The sequence below is a fragment of the Homo sapiens genome, chromosome 18, assembly GCF_000001405.40.
Source record: "Homo sapiens chromosome 18, GRCh38.p14 Primary Assembly".
Classification (NCBI taxonomy): domain Eukaryota; kingdom Metazoa; phylum Chordata; class Mammalia; order Primates; family Hominidae; genus Homo; species Homo sapiens.
This window is the reverse complement of record NC_000018.10, coordinates 46,339,209-46,356,435: the sequence shown is the minus strand read 5'-3', so window position 1 is coordinate 46,356,435 and position 17,227 is coordinate 46,339,209. Positions and strand designations below refer to the sequence as shown.

At 51.1% G+C, this 17,227-nt stretch overlaps 1 protein-coding gene across 4 annotated transcripts in view, besides 1 other annotated feature; it reads right to left on the bottom strand.

Moving 5' to 3' along the window:
* The window catches only part of ARK2C (arkadia (RNF111) C-terminal like ring finger ubiquitin ligase 2C), a 129,123-nt gene that overhangs the window by 106,705 nt on the left and 5,191 nt on the right, over window positions 1-17,227 (bottom strand). The gene's annotated exons all lie outside the window — the stretch shown is intronic.
* Window positions 12,350-12,529: an enhancer, noted in NCBI's record as "active region_13279". NCBI's record gives its function as "activates an Ori minimal core promoter by ATAC-STARR-seq in GM12878 lymphoblastoid cells {active_cell/tissue: GM12878}" and the evidence as "EXISTENCE:reporter gene assay evidence [ECO:0000049][PMID:35858748]".

Here is a 17,227-nt window from a genome sequence, read left to right as displayed (position 1 = left end):
CAGGCATAAAATAAGCACCTCCCCACCCCCACTCCAGCATCACCACCCTTTGACCCTGCGCTATTTTGCACCATGGCACATGTCACCTCTGATGTGCTACCTATTGGCCTGCTTGTTTGCTGTCTGCCTTCCCCACTAGAATGCAAGCTTCTTAAAATCAGGTGATTGTTCAATGCTGCATCCTCCGCACCTAGAACACACCTGGAACAGGGTCGGCTGGTCACGGATTGACATTTGCAGAATGAATGAATAAATGGACAATAAGGCAATTTGTTTTTCAGCTTCTGCATATCACAGAGTGAGGGCTTAATTAATACTTCAGTAGTCAATAAAGGAGAGAATAAGGGAAGAAAGGTGGAGATTTGGGCCAGGGGCCTGCATGGAGCCAAGTTCGTCCTGGCCGAGGGCTGAGGGCCACGGGAATGCTGCCAAGGACCAGACGGGTGGCTTGGCCCAGCAGCCCCATCCCTCAGCCATGCCTCCGCCCACTACAGAGGCCCATCTGCATCATCATCATCATCATCATCACCATTGTCGTCATCATCCACGGCAGTCACATACCCAACATGGCAGGGCCATACTGGATATTTAAGGGTCCTCCAGGCACAGGGGTGCCATGCAAGGCTTTGGATCATGTGCAAAGCTGGGTTTGGAGAAGGTCTTGAGGGGGCATGTGTGCACATGATGGGTGGAGAGATAGAGGGGAGCCACAGCTCTGCCAGGAAGCCAGGCAGGCACTGAGTTCAGGGGCAGCCAGGGGCACTTAGAGATTGTGGCTGCTGGAGGAGCAAGAAGAGAAGGAGAGGCCAGCATTCCTGGAGGTCCCCAAGTGTCTGGAAAAATAGGCGGTCCTCAGATAGGCACAGATGGGAGCTGGGACCGCTGGTTTGGGGAGGGAAGGAACATTGAGAAAGTCAGTGTTTTTTCTAGAATATTAGACTGGGGCACTTCTGTCCTTTCCAAGGCTTTCAGACAGCAAGGATCTCCTGTGATCCTCACCAGAGCCTAGAGAATGAGGCAGAAGGAGAATCCTCATCCCATAGAACCAGTGAGGAGCCCGAGGCCCTGAGAGAGAACCAGGCTGGTCCTCTTCAGAGGGACCTCGGGACCACTGCTCCCCTCAGATATGTTCATCCTCAGTTCTTGGGTGTGAGCTGCCATGTTAAAAAAAAATATTAAAACAGGCCGGGCCCGGTGGCTCATGCTTGTAATCTCAGCACTTTGGGATGCCGAAGTGGGTGGATAACCTGAGGTCAGGAGTTCCAGACCAACCTGGCCAACATGGTGAAACCCTGTCTCTACTAAAAAAAAAACAAAAATTAGCCAGGCATGGTGGCATGTTCCCGTAGTCCTAGCTACTCCGGAGGCTAAGGCAAGATAATTGCTTGAACCTGGGAGGTGGAGGCTGCAGTGAGCTGAGATTGTACCACTGCACTCCAGCCTGGGTGACAGAGTGAGACTCAGTCTCAAAAAATATGTATATATTAAAAGCAAAATGAAGGAGTGTGTCTATGGTGAAAAAGAAATCTAGGTCTCATAAATCACAAACTTGGCACTGATGTTTGTCTTTAAAGAGTCAATAGATTTACTTATAGGCCCCAAAGCTTTGTGTATGGAGCACACACAAAATGAATGTCAAATGTCAGCAGCCCTAAAAGGCCATCTATTGCACAGTGGACCATCGCTTTATGAACCACTAAAAGATTTTTAAGAGGCAATTAAACTAGGACAAACTGTCATTTATAAGGCGCATCCCAGTTTCCAAGATGTGAAATGTGAAAGCGCATGCATCTTAGCATGGTGCTGATGCTGTGGCTGGCAGGGAAGGTACAGTCTTTGAAAACTCTAGAGAGGATCGGGCAGAGACCCTGGAGATATTCTAACCAGCTCTCAAGTCTCTTGTAAAGGTTTCTCAAGTTCGGCCTCTAAGGGAGCTGAGAACTCCATCTTGTCAGCAGCACTACTGGGTTTGGGCGCCTATGGGCCCTGATCATGTGTTCTCCAATCCTGCACTTCGTGCATGAGGACCCCCCATCATTACAGCCTGAGTGTGTGCATGGGCCCTGGCAGTGTACAAACCTGCATCAGTTAATCACTCTAATGCTGGGAGGTGTGTCCAATTCTGCCCACACTTGTAGAGCTGAGCCCAGACCCCCAATCCCTGGCCTAGCAAAGCTCCCCTACATCACAGCTACCTCCTTCAAGAGGTGTCCCCTGTCTCTGGTGCTGGCATCTCTGCTAACATACATGCCCTTCCCTGGGCCTTCGCTGGACATAGGGACTGCAGTGTGGGAAGAAATGAAACAATTCATAAATTTGGGCAAAAGGAAGAGGAGAGAATTGGGGAGCCTGGTGAACGTTGTGGCTCCTGCCTTCCTGGTTTAGAGTGAGAGTGGAGACTGAGATGTGGGGAGCTTGTCTTCTCCCCAGCTGAATGATCTTGGCCAAGTCCCCGTAAAATGAGGGGGTGAGCTAAATATCTTTGGGGTCCTTTCCAGGCTTCCAATAAAACCCTTAGAGCTGGGTCTTGGTGAATGGGAGGCAGAGTGACCTAGGGCCCAGCCAGGCCACCCCACCACAAGGCCCCGCTACTCCATCTCCCAACTCCAGGTCTCTGGGTCCTTGACATGGGCTGTCTGTATCTGGTTATCTCTTCTGGAGGGCCCGTTTCCTTTCCCTTCTCAGATCAAGGATCCGAGGCAGCAGCATGGGAGGGGGCCACAACGCTGTGGGAAGGAGCCAGAGTCCTGGCCCCCTGCCTACCAGCAGCATGCGTCTCCAGGGCCCCGTCACTCCCACTCTCTGACTTTCAGAGTCCTCCCACACACTTCCATTTGTAGAGGGATGGAGTGGGATTAAGGGTTTTTAGGTAACATCCCTTACCAGTGACAGTGGGGTAGCGGACGGGGAGCAAACTAGCATTCATTGAGTGCCTACGACCTGCCAGGCACCTGTGCTAAAAGCTACACAGATTTTCACTCCCACAGCAACCCTGTCAAGAGGTCACAGACCCTTGCTCTCACCTAGCAGCCTGACTCACGGCCCAGACATTGCACCTGGTGCTTTCCATGGACTCTGGCTGAATCTCCCCAACAATCCATGGAGGAGGTCACGATGACATCCCCGTCTCTCAGATGAGAAAAGTGAGGCACCAAGAGGTTAAATATTTTGCCCAAGGATGTGCAGCTTTCATTCAGTGTCTACTGTCCACCACACCCTGGGCTGAGCACTTCACAGACATCATCTCATTTTTAGATCTAACATTCTACTATAGTCTTTTGGATAAGATGGAAAATGCAAGCTAGTCATGAGACAGGAAGATTTGTAATGAGATGAGTAATCACATCCAATCGCCACAGGCCGGTGGTTTGACACCAACTTGGAGGATGGCTTCTCACTTCCTACCTTGGGGATGTCTTTGCCTATTTGGGTGAAGCCATGGAGGGCATGCTAGTCCCACCCACAGTGCCACTAATGCAAGAAGGGTAGACAAAGGAGGAGCTCCACCCAGGATCAATGTAAGACCTGACGTGTGGGTTCTAAGCACCAACTGAGGCAGAGATGACCAACTGAGTGCTCCCCCCATTATCTGTTCTCTCCTTCTACGGTAATGCAACCCCTAAATTCAGCTGGGCACATGGCCTTCAGTATATAAGACTTCCCAGCTTCCTTTACAGCTAAGGGTGGTTACGTGACCCAGTTTAGCCAATGGGGTGTGAGTGGGGGTGGCTTGTGCAGTGCTGTGTCATGCTCTTTCTAACCTTTCCCTTCTTCCTCCATCTTGATGCTTGGAAAGTGGATAAAGGTGTGAACCATCCTGGACCATGCAGAAAAGGGCCATATCCTAGGGAGGGTGGAGCAACAAGAGAGAAGGCACCTGAGTCCTTGATATTGAGCACCACTCTAGGCTGTTCTGAGAGTTGCTATCCCTTTAAGCCACCTTTATTTTGGATCTCTGTTACCACAGCCAAACTTACATCTGACCCAATAAACCTACTCCACTAGGCTGGGACATGAGAGTCTCCATAGCAGGTGTTATCAGATTTGGGAGCTCTGGTCCACATGAAATAAGCTTGGGACAGGATGATGTGTACCCAATATAGCCAGTGCAAACTGAGGCTACATTAACAAAAGTGTAGATTCTAGGTGGGGAAAGAGTCTGATGGAGTCCATACTGGCTGCCTTCCCATTTTCTGGGCTTTGACCAGCTGGAGTTCATCAAGGTGAACCTCCTGGATAGGACCCAAGGCCCCCAAGGAGGAGGGGAGCCTGGAGGGTTCCCAAATGTCTCCAGCAGAGCCCTGCAAAGGCTGTCCAGGGCCAATGGTGGGGAAAGGAAGGTCAAGGCCTGGGAGGTAGAGGACAGGGCTGCCATCCTGGGAGTGACAGGGTCTGCCAGGCCACCAGGGCAGGAAGACTCCATTGCATTCTGAAGGCTATTCACTCCAGAGGCTCCCAGGAAATATACCCACCCCTAGGAGAAAAACTGCGTAGATGCACGGTGCAGGAGGACCTCTTTATCACCTCACATTCTTGGTATCCCATCCCAACACACACCAATAGATTTACCGTTTGCTGAGGCTGCAATGTTTGTGCGCAGTGGATTGACGTAGCCAGGCCCTGCCGCCACGGTGGGACACTGCCTCAGGTCATGGAAAGAGCATGAGCTTGGGGTCCAAGCTGGACTTAAACCTAGGCCTCTGTTTCCAGGCGATGTAACTGAGAACTGTCTAAGTTATCTTTCAGTGGGGTTTCATAAAAAAGTAACTCAAAGATCAACATCAGAGGACAAAGAGATGATGCCTATAAAGCCCCTGATGTGCCCCTCATGAGCGGATATTTCTGTCCTGCTTAGCAGGAAGGGGCTGGGCTTAGCAGGAAGGGGCTGGGCTGCTGAGGGAGGACAATGGCAGGGCGGCTCTGCAGGTGCAAGGAGACAGCCTTAGCAAACCTTACCATTTGGCTCAAGGACCCAATCTCTTTAGCTTTTTGCTCCAGGTCTATTATTTGCCAGCTCTTGATCTTGTCTTTTTCTGCTCAGATATCCACGGAAGGGACGCCTTTGCTTGGAACTAGGGGCACCTGGAGGGAACTGCTCCAGCCCATCTCACAGCCCATCCCTGCCCCCAGCCCTCAAACTTCAGACTGGAGGGAAGTCCCGAGCTCCACTCACAGAGGTGGTGACTCTGTAGGGCTAGGTCATCTGTATTTTAACAAGCTTCCAGATGATTCTAATTTAGTGTCGACTCCAGTGGGAAGCTCCTTGGCAGGGTGATCTTCCAGGGCCTCCTCCCAGCAAAGAAGATTGTGCATCCCTGCCTCCCTCCCGGGCTCTGCAGACTGGCATACCTGCCAGGGAGCCCCTCTGCCACACGTGAGCTCTGGGGTCTGCCCGCTAGGGCAGCTCCCAGCCCTCTGGTCTCAGCGCTGCTGGCGTCTGCCATGATTTATGGCTGCACCTCCTGCACACACGCCAGGGGCAGAGGGACTCAGCACACTGTTCACAAATTAAACCCGGCCCTCTTCTCCTCCCAGGTAATGGGCCCATCTGATGATGAAAGAGCTTATAAACAGCTATCGTCAAATTAATCTCTATGTCAGAGATATAATATTGGCCGTAAATAAGACTGAGTGTGCCTGGCTCGCCAGCTTGTTAGGACACTTTATAAAGCAGAACAGTGACATTAGTATCATATGATCTCTTTCATTCCCCCAGTGTGACAGCTGAGCACTAGCTAAGGAGTCTCTCAGCTACTGGTGACCTCAGCCAGGTGTCAGTGCCACCACCGAGCGTGGCAGGAGGAACGCCAGCAGAGAGCTTCTGGCCATTTCCTGGCCCTGCTGCTTCTTCCTCCACCTCTACCCAAATGTTGCTGTAACTGCTGCAGGGGTTCTTGGGGTTGGGGGCGCTCCTGACCATGCTTGCCCCTCTTGACACCCCTCGTGTGACCCCCATACCTCAGCGCTCCCTTCTCTCATGCTCTACTGACATGGACCTCACGCTTCCATCCCAGCTGAAGACTCAACGCCTCCAGGAAGCCCTCCCAGGCCACATGGCATCCAAACAGAGCTTTGTGATGATTGTTTTCTCCATCATAGTGGGGAGCACACCAAATGTGGCCTGGTATCAAAGGCCCAGGCTCTGCGGCTGGCCTGCAGATGTGGACACACGCATACGCATGGTGTTTTCCTAGATAAGGCCTGCATCTCCTGTTGAAATATTGTTTGAATTCAGCGATGGTGGGGTAGGGGCTTCATAGGGGCACAGGTGACATGTCAGAGAAAAGAAGGGGAAGGCAGTACCTTCTGGAAACATTTAAGCCTGTATTTCTCTGGGTATGTATCATGGGGTATGCATGTGTGTACATGTATGTGAGTGGTGAGTGGTATGAGTCTGTGCATGTATTGGCATGTGGAACATGGGTGTGTATATGTACTGTATATTCTCATCTAATACAGATACGTACGTGTAAATGAATGCGTGCTGCTGTTATAACTGTATGTGAACTGTGGATGAATGTGTAAATGCATATTGCATGGGGCCCATAGAGGGATGGGCATGTGTCAGGGTGACCATCTGGGTGCACGATGATGTGAGCATCAGGTGCTGGGTGGATCGTGTGCAGCGTGTCAAATGTAGCTGTGGGTTACTGGGCAAGGGGTGCCCAACTAGATAGGCAAGAAACTCCACTTCAAGGAATCTGGACAAGGTCAAAAATGTAAGACAGAAGGTGGGAAGGAAGGCCCTAAGCTGAATAGGGCTTTGGCACAAGGCAAGCACCCCCAGTGGCCAAGAGCCCACTCCAGAACTGTGACCACTGGCAGCTTCCCCTGGCTGGCCAGCAAAAATGCCACTGGGAATGAGAGGCCAGCTCACCGCTGACCTCCCTCTAGAGTTCTCTAGAGTAGGTGCTATGACTTGAATGTTTGTGTCCTCTCAAAATTTATATGTTGAATCTTAACCCCCAAGATGATGGTGTTAAAAGATGGGGTCTTCGAGAAGTGATTCGATTCCAAGAGTGAAGCGCTCATGAATGGAATTAGTGCCGTTATAAAAGAGGCCCCAGAGGAGTCCCTCTCACCATCTGCCATGCAAGGTTACAGCAAAAAAACAGCCATCTAGGAAGTGGACCCTCACCCGCAACAAACCTGCTGGCACCTTGAGCTTGGATTCCCAGCCTCCAGTACACCGGGAAACAAACTTCTGTTATTTATAAGCCACCCAGTCTATGGCATTTTGTTACTGCAGTCCAAATGTGCTAAGATAGTGGGAAAAGATGGCACTCTGGGATGAAGACTATGGTGGGAAGTAATTCAGGCAGTCACCAATCCATGAGTTCCCTTTTATGGCCTTTTTCTCAGTCTCCCTACCTCCACAGTATAAGGGAGTTGCTTCTGGCCAGTCTTGAGCTAGATGACCCAGTTCCCAGGCTAGCATTCCCAAACTGTGCTCCATGCAACCAAGTTCAAGGTATGCTTCTAGAAATCACACACACACACACACACACACACACACACACACACACACACACACAGAAAGAGAGAGAGAGAGTTCTGTGGTCAGATAGTTTTGGGAAATGCTGCTAAAGCAAAACCAAAGGGCTCTCTTGGTTGCAGGACTTACCAGGGACTTTAATTTGCTAATACGCACACCGACTCTCCAAGACTGGGATATAGTGTGTAGTATTTCCAAATTGTTGGAATATGTAACCTTTCTGCAGAAACAACTTTTAACAGCTCAAGAGGCCCCAGTGCTTGCTTGGACACTGTGGAAAATGCTGCCCTAAGCCCCTACTTCAAGGATCAGTCCCACCCCTGTGTCTTCCAGGAGGTCTCCCAGATACCACACCACTCTGCTCTTTTCTCTGAAGTTTCCCACCCTCCCAGCAGTAGCCCATGGTACCTCTTCCTGTGGAGGTAACTGTCCCAGCATTTCTTCACCAGGGTTTGTTGAAACTCCTACCTCACTTTCTTGTACCCTCAGCCCTTAGCTCAGGACACACAGAGGTTCTGTGCACTTTATTCTTGACAAAAGACAATCAACCACCAGCAACGCTGGCCAATAGGCAAAGCTGCCATGTTGACCAGGAGGGCCAACAAAGCCTTAGCTTCCCTGCATGCCATCAGTCCCCCAGCTCCCTGTCCCAGTGACCCCTCTGCATGACTCTCCTTCTCAGCCTGCCCTTCCCCTCCCCTCACCCCCCCCAGCCCCTTGGCCCACAACGCCCTCACCCCACCCCTTCCTGGGCAACCAGTTCCTTTAAGACTCACCCAGGCATCAGCTCCCCCAGGCATTGCCCTCCCCAGGATGTCTGCCGCAGGCTAAGAGAACACCCAGCACATACCTTAGGGCCATGCTGTTCCTGCGTCTGTCTGTTTCCCACGAGGTTCAGTATTTTTAAGGCAGGCAAAGTGCTTAGGAGGGTGCCTGGCACAGAGTAAGTGCTACGTGAGCATCTGCTACTGCCCTTATGGTTATTATTATTATCCTTGTGTCCCCCATGCCTGCACGGGGCCTGGTCCAACACAGGTGCTCAGTGGGTATGTGTTAGATGAGCTGAACAAATCCATGATCAAATCTGAGCCTCACTATCACCCTGCCGGGGGACTTGCTGTAATTATTCCCATTTTACAGATAAGAACACTGAGGCTCAGTTTCCCCCTTCCTTTTATTTCCCTTATAAAATTCAAAGTGCCTCCTAGGAGCAGGCAGGGGGACTCTGTGCATGGCAACTCCCTAGCAGATAGCCATATAGAACAATTAGTGTAGCCCCTACTCTGTGCCAGGAGCCACTCACGGTGGGTACATTACATCCACCGTCTCGTTTAATCCAGATGAGGATTAAACTCACCTGGCAGGTAAGAATGAGTACCCTTTTCTGCAAAGAGCAGAACCAGTGCCCCAAGAGGGTTGCCCGCTTCAGAGGGAGGACACGAAGCCCCCAGCTCCCTCGAGCAGCGACCCCTCCACGTGACTCTCTTTCCAGGGGCGGCACGATGACCCATTGGAGCACTCAGGCAGCTCGGCTGGGCAGAGGGGCAGGAGAGGAGGCAGAGAATTTCAGCAGGATGGCCAGGGCCAGGGGATGGCAGGGAGGATGGAGACTGGAATGGGAGGGATGACAATGAAATGAGAGGGCCCGATGCTCCAGAAAAGAAAAAGAAAATTCAGACGAGGGTGACAGCCACAGGACTCTGACATTTACCTCTTGGATCAGATCTGGGCCTACATGGGAGAGGCGCAGGGAGCAGGGCTGACCCGATCACTCCCCAAGGCAGCAGAGCTACAGCTCTTCCTCCTCGGGGAACAGCTCCAGTCCTGCCTCCTCCGGGAGGCCCTCCTGATTTTCTCCAGGCCTCAGTGACCTCTCCCCATCCCGTGCGCTAAGATATCTCCCTGCTAGGCCACACTTTCTGGCCAGCATGACCACTGTTTGGCCATTCTTGTTGCCCATTCTCCACCCACATCAGGAGTGTTCGGGGGTCTCCCCAGTTAGGCTACAGGTCACAGGCTGTCTGTGCCAAAGCAGGTTCTCAGTAACTGCTTACACAATTAAGCTGAAATATGCCCAGCCCTTCCCTGACTGCCCAAGGGCCTGCTTTGCACTCCCCTAAGACCCCTAAAACTGTCCCAGGCCTGAACAAGCAGAGGTGTGTTTGCATGGGGGAAGTGGGGTGTGTGGTGGGAGTTGGGAAATGGCCATCTTTTCTAAACACTTCCCAGGATTTCGGGTGTCTCGTACTTTATATGAGTGAGAACTCTCTTTCATCCTCACCACTCTGTGACACTGGTATTTACATCAATTATTTCCATTTTTTTAGAAGAGACTGAGGCTCAGAGAGGGCCAAAGTCCCGCAGCTGGTAGGTGGTCAAGCTAAAGACTGCCTGATGGCAAAATCTGTGTATTCTTTGCTACAGCTTAGTTTCCCATCCCCTCGGCCCCCAAGAAGTCCCAGCAAACACAGCCCTTAACCTGCCTGGGAGGAGGCCCTAAACCCAAGGGAGCTCTTAGTTTCTGTTTCGGGTGATTTAAAAGTTTTGGAAATAGAAAGTAGTGATGTTCGCACAGTACTGTGAATGTACGTAATGCCACTGAATTGTAGTACACTTTTAAATGGTTGAAACAGCAGACTTTATGCTGTGTATGTTTTACCACAATAAAGAGTCCTGTGCCCCCCTCAGAAGATCCCCTTCCCACCCACTGGTGGGGTTCTCTCCGTCTCCTGGCCTCCCCTCTCAGGCTCTGGTTCCTAGGCCTGGCACACTTGAGGATCTGCCACCATGTTGAAATGCCATCCCTTCTCTCTCTGCCCAGTTAAACCCAAGCTGTCCTCAAGCCTCACCCAGTCATGCATCCCACACAGCACCCCATGGCTGCCATAGCTCGTGCCACTTACAAATGGCATTGAGTCAAAACACAAAACGTCCACCAGCCCTCAGAGTCGAGAAACCGAGTTCCAATCCTGACTAGAGCTCCAAGAGCCAGCTCTGACTCTCCAGCCACTGAACAACTTGGGTCCCCAAGCTCTGGGAAGATGAGGCCTTGGGGTGACCCTGAAGAATTACTCTCACTCACCCCTGGATGGACCCAAATGCCAGAGGAGTGTATAGCCACCCCGGGAGTCGGGGCACAGCCTGGACTGACCTGCCTGAATGAAATGTCACCAAATTCTGTATTTGCATTCAAAGGTTTATGTAAAATTTGCAAATAGAGGTAGAAGAGTTGCTTGTTTAGTTTAATATAAACTTCATGTTTTCCCCAAATTGAGAGGTAAAACTAGAAACCGTGTCCATCCTGCAGCAGGCCCAAGCCCTGTTTTGCCCTAGGAGTCAAGACTCTGCTCTCTGCTGCGCACACGTCTAGTCCACCCCCCAGCCAGATGCTCCCCAGGTGCACCTGTGCAGGGATGGGGCCTGACTTAGGGAATACCCAGGAGATGGCTGAGAGACACCAGCTGAGAAGGCGGGAACCTGATGCCTCCCTCCTCCTTCCCACCACCTCTCTGCTGGGGGAAACTGAGACTTGTCAGGGACCTTCAGGATGGGACTGTGCCATCTCAGGTTGTCATCTGGCCTTCTCTCCCACCTCAATCAACACTCCCACCGCACCTGCCCGGGGAAGACCAAGCTGGGGGCTGGCTGCTGCCCCCTCACCCCAGATGACCTCTCTTCCCTCACCCCCTCCTTTAGTTCCTTTCCTCCTGGCAGGAAGAGGGCTGGACTCTTCAGGTTCCAGCGGGCGCAAACTTCCTTCCAGTTGTCCCTTGCTGCCCTATCCCTCTGGTTCCGTGGCAGGTGGCAGCCAGCAGCCCTGCATCGCAGGCACCCCTGCATCCCAGGCACCCCTGCCCCGAAGCAGCCTCAGCATCAGCTTGGCCAGAAGGAGCGAGGCAGGAGCTGCCTCCCAAGCTCAGCTTCCCTCCTGACCCAGCCCTTAGGGAGGGAGACAGGTCTGATGTCCCCCTCCGTCCTGAGGGACATGAGCCCACCAGAGGGGAGGCCTGGGCCACAGCCCACCACCCTGGTGTCCAAGATGAGGAACTCTGGAGAGTGCTGACAGAACCAAGCCAAGGCTCTGGCCCAGCTACCTCCGCTGTCTCTCTCCTCAGCACAGAGGTTGGGGACACACACACCTCTGGGCCATGCGAGGACCAGTTCTTTGGGCCCAAGTCCCCCACTGTCACTCCCTCACCTTCCCAGAATCTGACTTTTCAGGTCTGGTCAGAAGTCCCAAACGTCACAGGCAGAGGGGGCAGGTATGGTCCCTTCCCCTGAGTCCATGCCTGCCCCTCCAGGGAATGAGCCCACTGTGGATGCCGAGGTCCCCTGTGGAGGCCAAGGTCCCCTGGGGAAGGGCCATCCTTCGGCTTAAGGAAGGCCAGTGTCTCCACGCTGGGGGTGGGAGTGGGCACATTCTCCCATTAGCTCGAGGGAATTTGAGGAGTAGAAGCAGGTGTTCTAGGAGGTGGGTGGTCCTCGGGCACAGGCAGCCCGGAGGGGGCCCCTGAGCTTTTGAGGAGGGGGTGGCATGGGGGAGGAAGGCTGGAGCTAAGCAAGCTAGCTGGGGGCGGGGGGAGAAGGGGGAAGACATGGAGAGCGCCTCCACCCCTTCCCTCCCACTCAGCTTCAGAGGGGGCACAGCAGCTGTTCCAACGCTTCCTGCCCTTCCTTGAGACAGGTGTCCACTGAATTCTCACTTCCTCCCAGCCTCAGAGAGCTCCTCCACCCCCTCTCCACCTGCAGGCTGGTGCTGAGTCAGCAGCCGCCGCTTCCTTTCCTAGGTGCAGTGAGGCCAGCACTTAGATCTAAGGGATACAGTGTCGTCAGGGGAGGCCAACGTGGGTGACTGTCCCCCTCCTTCTCTGGCAGGGAGGACTTCCTGGAGGGCTCAGCTGCACACAGCGGCACACCCAGGCATGTTTCAAGGAAAGGACAGCAGGAGGAAGCAGCAGCATCCGGGGGAATGTCCCGCTCAGTGGCCCAACAAGAGCAGCAGCACCAGACTTATGCCAGCCTTGAGCTCGGGGTCAAGGAGCCCTGTGTCTGTGCTTCCAGGTTTAGCCCATGCCCTGGGTGGGCTACTAGCCAGGCAGGGGCAATTACTGCTCCCTTCCCACCTACTGCATGGTATGACCTGGCCAGTGGAAGTTCACGTGCCTACTGAGTCCTAAAGGTCATGTGGCTATCTTCCCAATGAAAAAGCAAAAAGGTGATAGGAATAGAAGCTCTTCTCATCACGAGGAAAGCACAGTGCTTTAGAGCAGGCAGGGGCAATCCAGTCAATTCTCTCCCTTGGCAGATAGGCAGTGAAGTCGCGGAGTACTCAGGCTTGGCCAAGACCTCACACGGGTAGTTACTGGCAGAGAGGCCATGAAGCCAGGACTATTTCCACTGTCCCACATGGCCTGTCTGAGTGCCACCACTATGAAGAATGTCAGTGATGATCTTCACTGTCGCCTTTGGCTGGCTTCTCGACTTGTTTCCTATGCATTACTTCATGTGACGAGTCCAGTAAGGCACAAGCCATAAGATGTGCCCATTTGACTGATGGGAAAACTGAGAATTGATGGAAGGAAACTAACCTGTTCAAGATCACAGTGGAAGTTTGTGGACCAGAATCTAGGTCTCAGAATAGTTTATTCAAGTCATATTCCTTTCCCCAGCCTTCTCTTATCTGCCTCCACTCCACTTATTTGGGCCTCTCGATGGAAGGGGCTGCTGGTGGGCAGAGAGGAGTGAGAGTTGTCACACCTGATCCACTCACTACCTCCTCCCCACATGGCTGGACAGCAGTCCAAGGGAGGTGGGTTAGAGCAGCACCAAGCGGCCTAGAACCTATGGCATTTTGAGTGCATGCGAAGCCAGCAAACTTGGCTGTTGAGCCACTATTCAAGTGGAATATTATGTAGCCATTAAAAGCAGTGCTTGTGAAAACAGCATAGCAGAATGTGAAAATGTCTGTGACATTAATGTAAAATAGGAAATAGAGAATGTAAAAAGTATACATATATTGTGTTTACAGCTCCACTCCCCCCCAAAAAACAACAAATAGATGAACAAAAATATGACTGCATTTCACTCACATGATCACAGAGGGATGGACTCCTATGAGGTTTTTTTTCCTTTGATTTATTTTCTAAACTTTCCAGAATGTGATTCTATCATCTCCATGAAACAACATAGATACAATTTGTTAAGGCTTCAAGAATTTCTAAGAAAAAATGCAAAACGTGCCCTCATCTTGGGGCTCAAGGCCTCAGGAAGGGGACACCTATTATTTCTGTGGAAATCAGGGTACAGACTCCACCTCCCTGGAGTTCCTCCAGCAAGCCAGCCAGGCCTGCTCTGAGACGGCATCTGAGGGTGAAAGGACTCTCCACCCTGGGTTCCAATGCCCTGTTCATTTCCCACTCTGGAGAGTTTCTGGTCCACCATGCACCCTCCCTGTCTCTCAAAGTCCCCTTTTGGGATGTGCAAGGCTCAGGGTTGGGGGTCTAGACCCCCTCGAAGCTTGGCAGGCCATTAGCTGGAAAGATCCTTTTCCACTGTGGACAAAGAGCCTAGCATTCAGAATCGGTCCCACCAGCTATGGCGGGAAAGCAGGTATTCCTTTCTCATTCTTGCCTTGGTCTTGATGAGGCTCCTTGCCGTATGCAGGCCATGGCAGGCAGTGCAGGGGGCCATAGTCGAGTGTCCAATCACCTAGGTTCCCCTTCTGGCTTAGCCATTTACTAGCTAGTCAGGAAGGGTGGCAAAGGCTTTCACCACTCTTGGCCTCAGCTTCCTCCTCTGATTCTCAATTAACTCCTCATGGGCTGTGCCAAGGAGGAAATAAGATAATGGAAGAGAGAGCTTTGAATTGCGAAAAAACCCCTCTTTGCAGACAGGACCAATCTTGAGATCAGAGCCCCTGTCCTTGTCCTCAGTCCCTACTCCCTGCCCTCTCCTCTCCCAATACGCTACTGGGTCGGGCTCCCTCCCGTTCCCCCTGCTCCCATGTGTAGGGATGGCCTTTTGCAAAGTAGTGGAGGCAAAGCTCCTGGTACTTGCCCACTTTGGGGTCTGTCTTTTCAAGAAAGACAAAGTTTGATAAAACTTGTTCCAACTCAGATTTCGGGATACTGATTGGTACAACTCCGGGAGGAGTTCATATTGTAAGAAAGCTTGCTCAAGGGGTGACCTAAGCCAGTAAAGACACATGTGAATAACATCACAAGGGTTTCAGGCATCAACAGAGAGTCTGGGGGGGACAAGTCATGTGAGTATGAGGAATTTTTATTGTTGAAGTTCATTTCCTACCCCAACCAGGAATCTGTATGTAAAGGACTAGAAGTCTCAACTCCCAGACGTTGCCACAATCCCCTTCCATCTGCCATTCTGGCGTCTGAAGTTCTATGTGCTTATCTGTACACTAAACTCAATTCTCACCAAAATGGACTGTTCCTCCCATGTTCCCCGTTTGTCTTCATGGTCTTCTACTCTCCAAAGCACCCCAAAGACCTCCTGCCCCTCAGCCCCTTCCACATAGACTCAATCCTGCTTACTCCACCTTACAGTAAACTCCCTGATGTGAGCCATCTTCTCCTCCCTACCCCCCACGCCTGTCCCACCCCCCTCCCTGACCTCAGCCCTTAGCCCCATCCCTCTGTCATCAGCTGCAGAATAAACTGTTTAAACAGCCCTCTCCCCTCAGAGCTCCCAAAGGCCAAAGAAGCCAGTCCAAACTCTCCAGAGGCCTTCAGAAACTGGCTTCAAAACCTCTTCAAGCCTTTTCTCCCACATTCTCCAGACCTCGTGCTGCTTAACTCCTAGAGTTGTGCTCTGAGGAGAGCCATTCAAAGACAGGACAATGATCCCGGTGCTCCCTGTAGGCCTGCACATGTGCCTCCGCCCCGCCATCAACACACACTCTTCCCTCCTGCTACGTACTTTCTGTTCTTGCCAAATCAGCAGAGCCACTGGCCTTGGCCAAAATCACTCATTCCCTCCACCTGGGGTGCTCTCTCCTCTTCCTCCTCCTCCCTCCTGTATACACACTACCCTTTGAGGCACATTGCAAACCCGCCTCTGCAGCAAGCTCACCTCTGACCTTATTTGATCCTCTGGCTAGCAAACACCTACAGTTGTGAAGGGAAGGGGCAACTGTCTAGCACATCCTAGGCACCTGCCGCGTGCCAGGTATCTTGTAACAGCTTAGACATAGCCTATCAGGTAGGTTTCATGGCAGTCATCAGTCATTGTTCAGAGGATGCTCAAAGCAGTGGCCTAAGATCACCCTTCCAGGTCAAGACTGGGCTAGGACTCAAACCCTGGACTGCTCCAAGCTCTTTTATCTCAGCAGTCAGGACGTTCTGCCATTCGTGTGGACATTTTGGCCCAGAACATCTTAGACAGTATCTGGTTTCCTAAGCATTCTTCCCTCAACCTCAGCATAAGCCCCAGGAGGGAGGCACTCAGGTCTCCATTTCTTCTGTATCCCCCTTAGCGCAGTGTTTGGCCCCAAGTAAGTATTCAATGAACACTCATTAACTAAATGAACAAACAAGTGAGTGAGTGAATGAATGAACAACTAAACACATGAAGTACAGGCATTGCATGAGGTTTGGCTATGGGGTTATAAGGGTTTGCTTTTGGTTCTTAAATCATCCTGAAAATCTGAGTCGTTCCAAGATAAGCCCTCCCCTTTCCCCCAATTCTCTTGGAAATATATTGGTTTATCTGTAGCTAAACCATACCAGAAACTAATAAATACTAATTCACATTCATACAATGTTAAGCCGGGAATTTTTACAAAGCTGTTTAGATCCATAGAGAAACTAAGGCACAAGTGTCTTGCAGATTTGTGTGACAGTTGTGGAGTAGGATTGAGGGAACCAAAGTCACACCCTGAATCAGGGTCAAGGACCTGTCGTCTCCTGCCCTTTGCTTCAGAAAAGGGGTCCCTGCTGCCCTTGGATCCAGCACAGAACTGTTGCTTCCGTAGCCTAAAAACCATTAAATCATCTAATGTGCTACTGCAGGATACTTATTTAAAGATGGGAAGGACAGGGTGGGGCAGGAGGTGAGAAAACTGCAAAAGGAAGATGAGTGGCCCAGGCCCTGACATTTGCACATTAGGGCCTCAACACTTTTGGTGGTCTTTTCCCTAAATTTGAGTAACTAATAGTATTTGCTGGTTTGCGGAAAATTATTATTAAAGAAAACTCATTAACTTAGTGGGTCTTTCTGATGCTAGTTTCAAGAGAGAAGTTCTCTTGTTCAGAAAGAAGAACTGTGTTCCATCTTATTACAAAGCCTATGACATAGGATTCACTGAACTGATGGGGTTTCCAAAATCCTGAAGTCAAGGTGCTAAAACAGACATGTGTCAGGTGGTTGAGAGAATAAATATAAAGAACAATGGCCTTGTAGTTCCTGAATCGTCCAGTCACAGGGAAAGTCTCCTTAATATGTAAGTGTTTAGTTCAGACAATCTGGGTCAAACATTAAATACACTGCATACATTGCTAAAACATGATTTCCCATTAACCCACAGCTTGCTATATTATTACTAGGTTACTAATCATCCTCAAAATGTATTCTCAAACAATTCTGACATACTTAACAAAAATTTAGAAAAATGAAATCCTGGAATTGGTTAAGATTGATCTAATGAGCCACTGTTCTCTAGGGCAAATATGAGAGTGATCACTCAATTCAGGGTAGTTTTATTATTGTTGAGGTTGG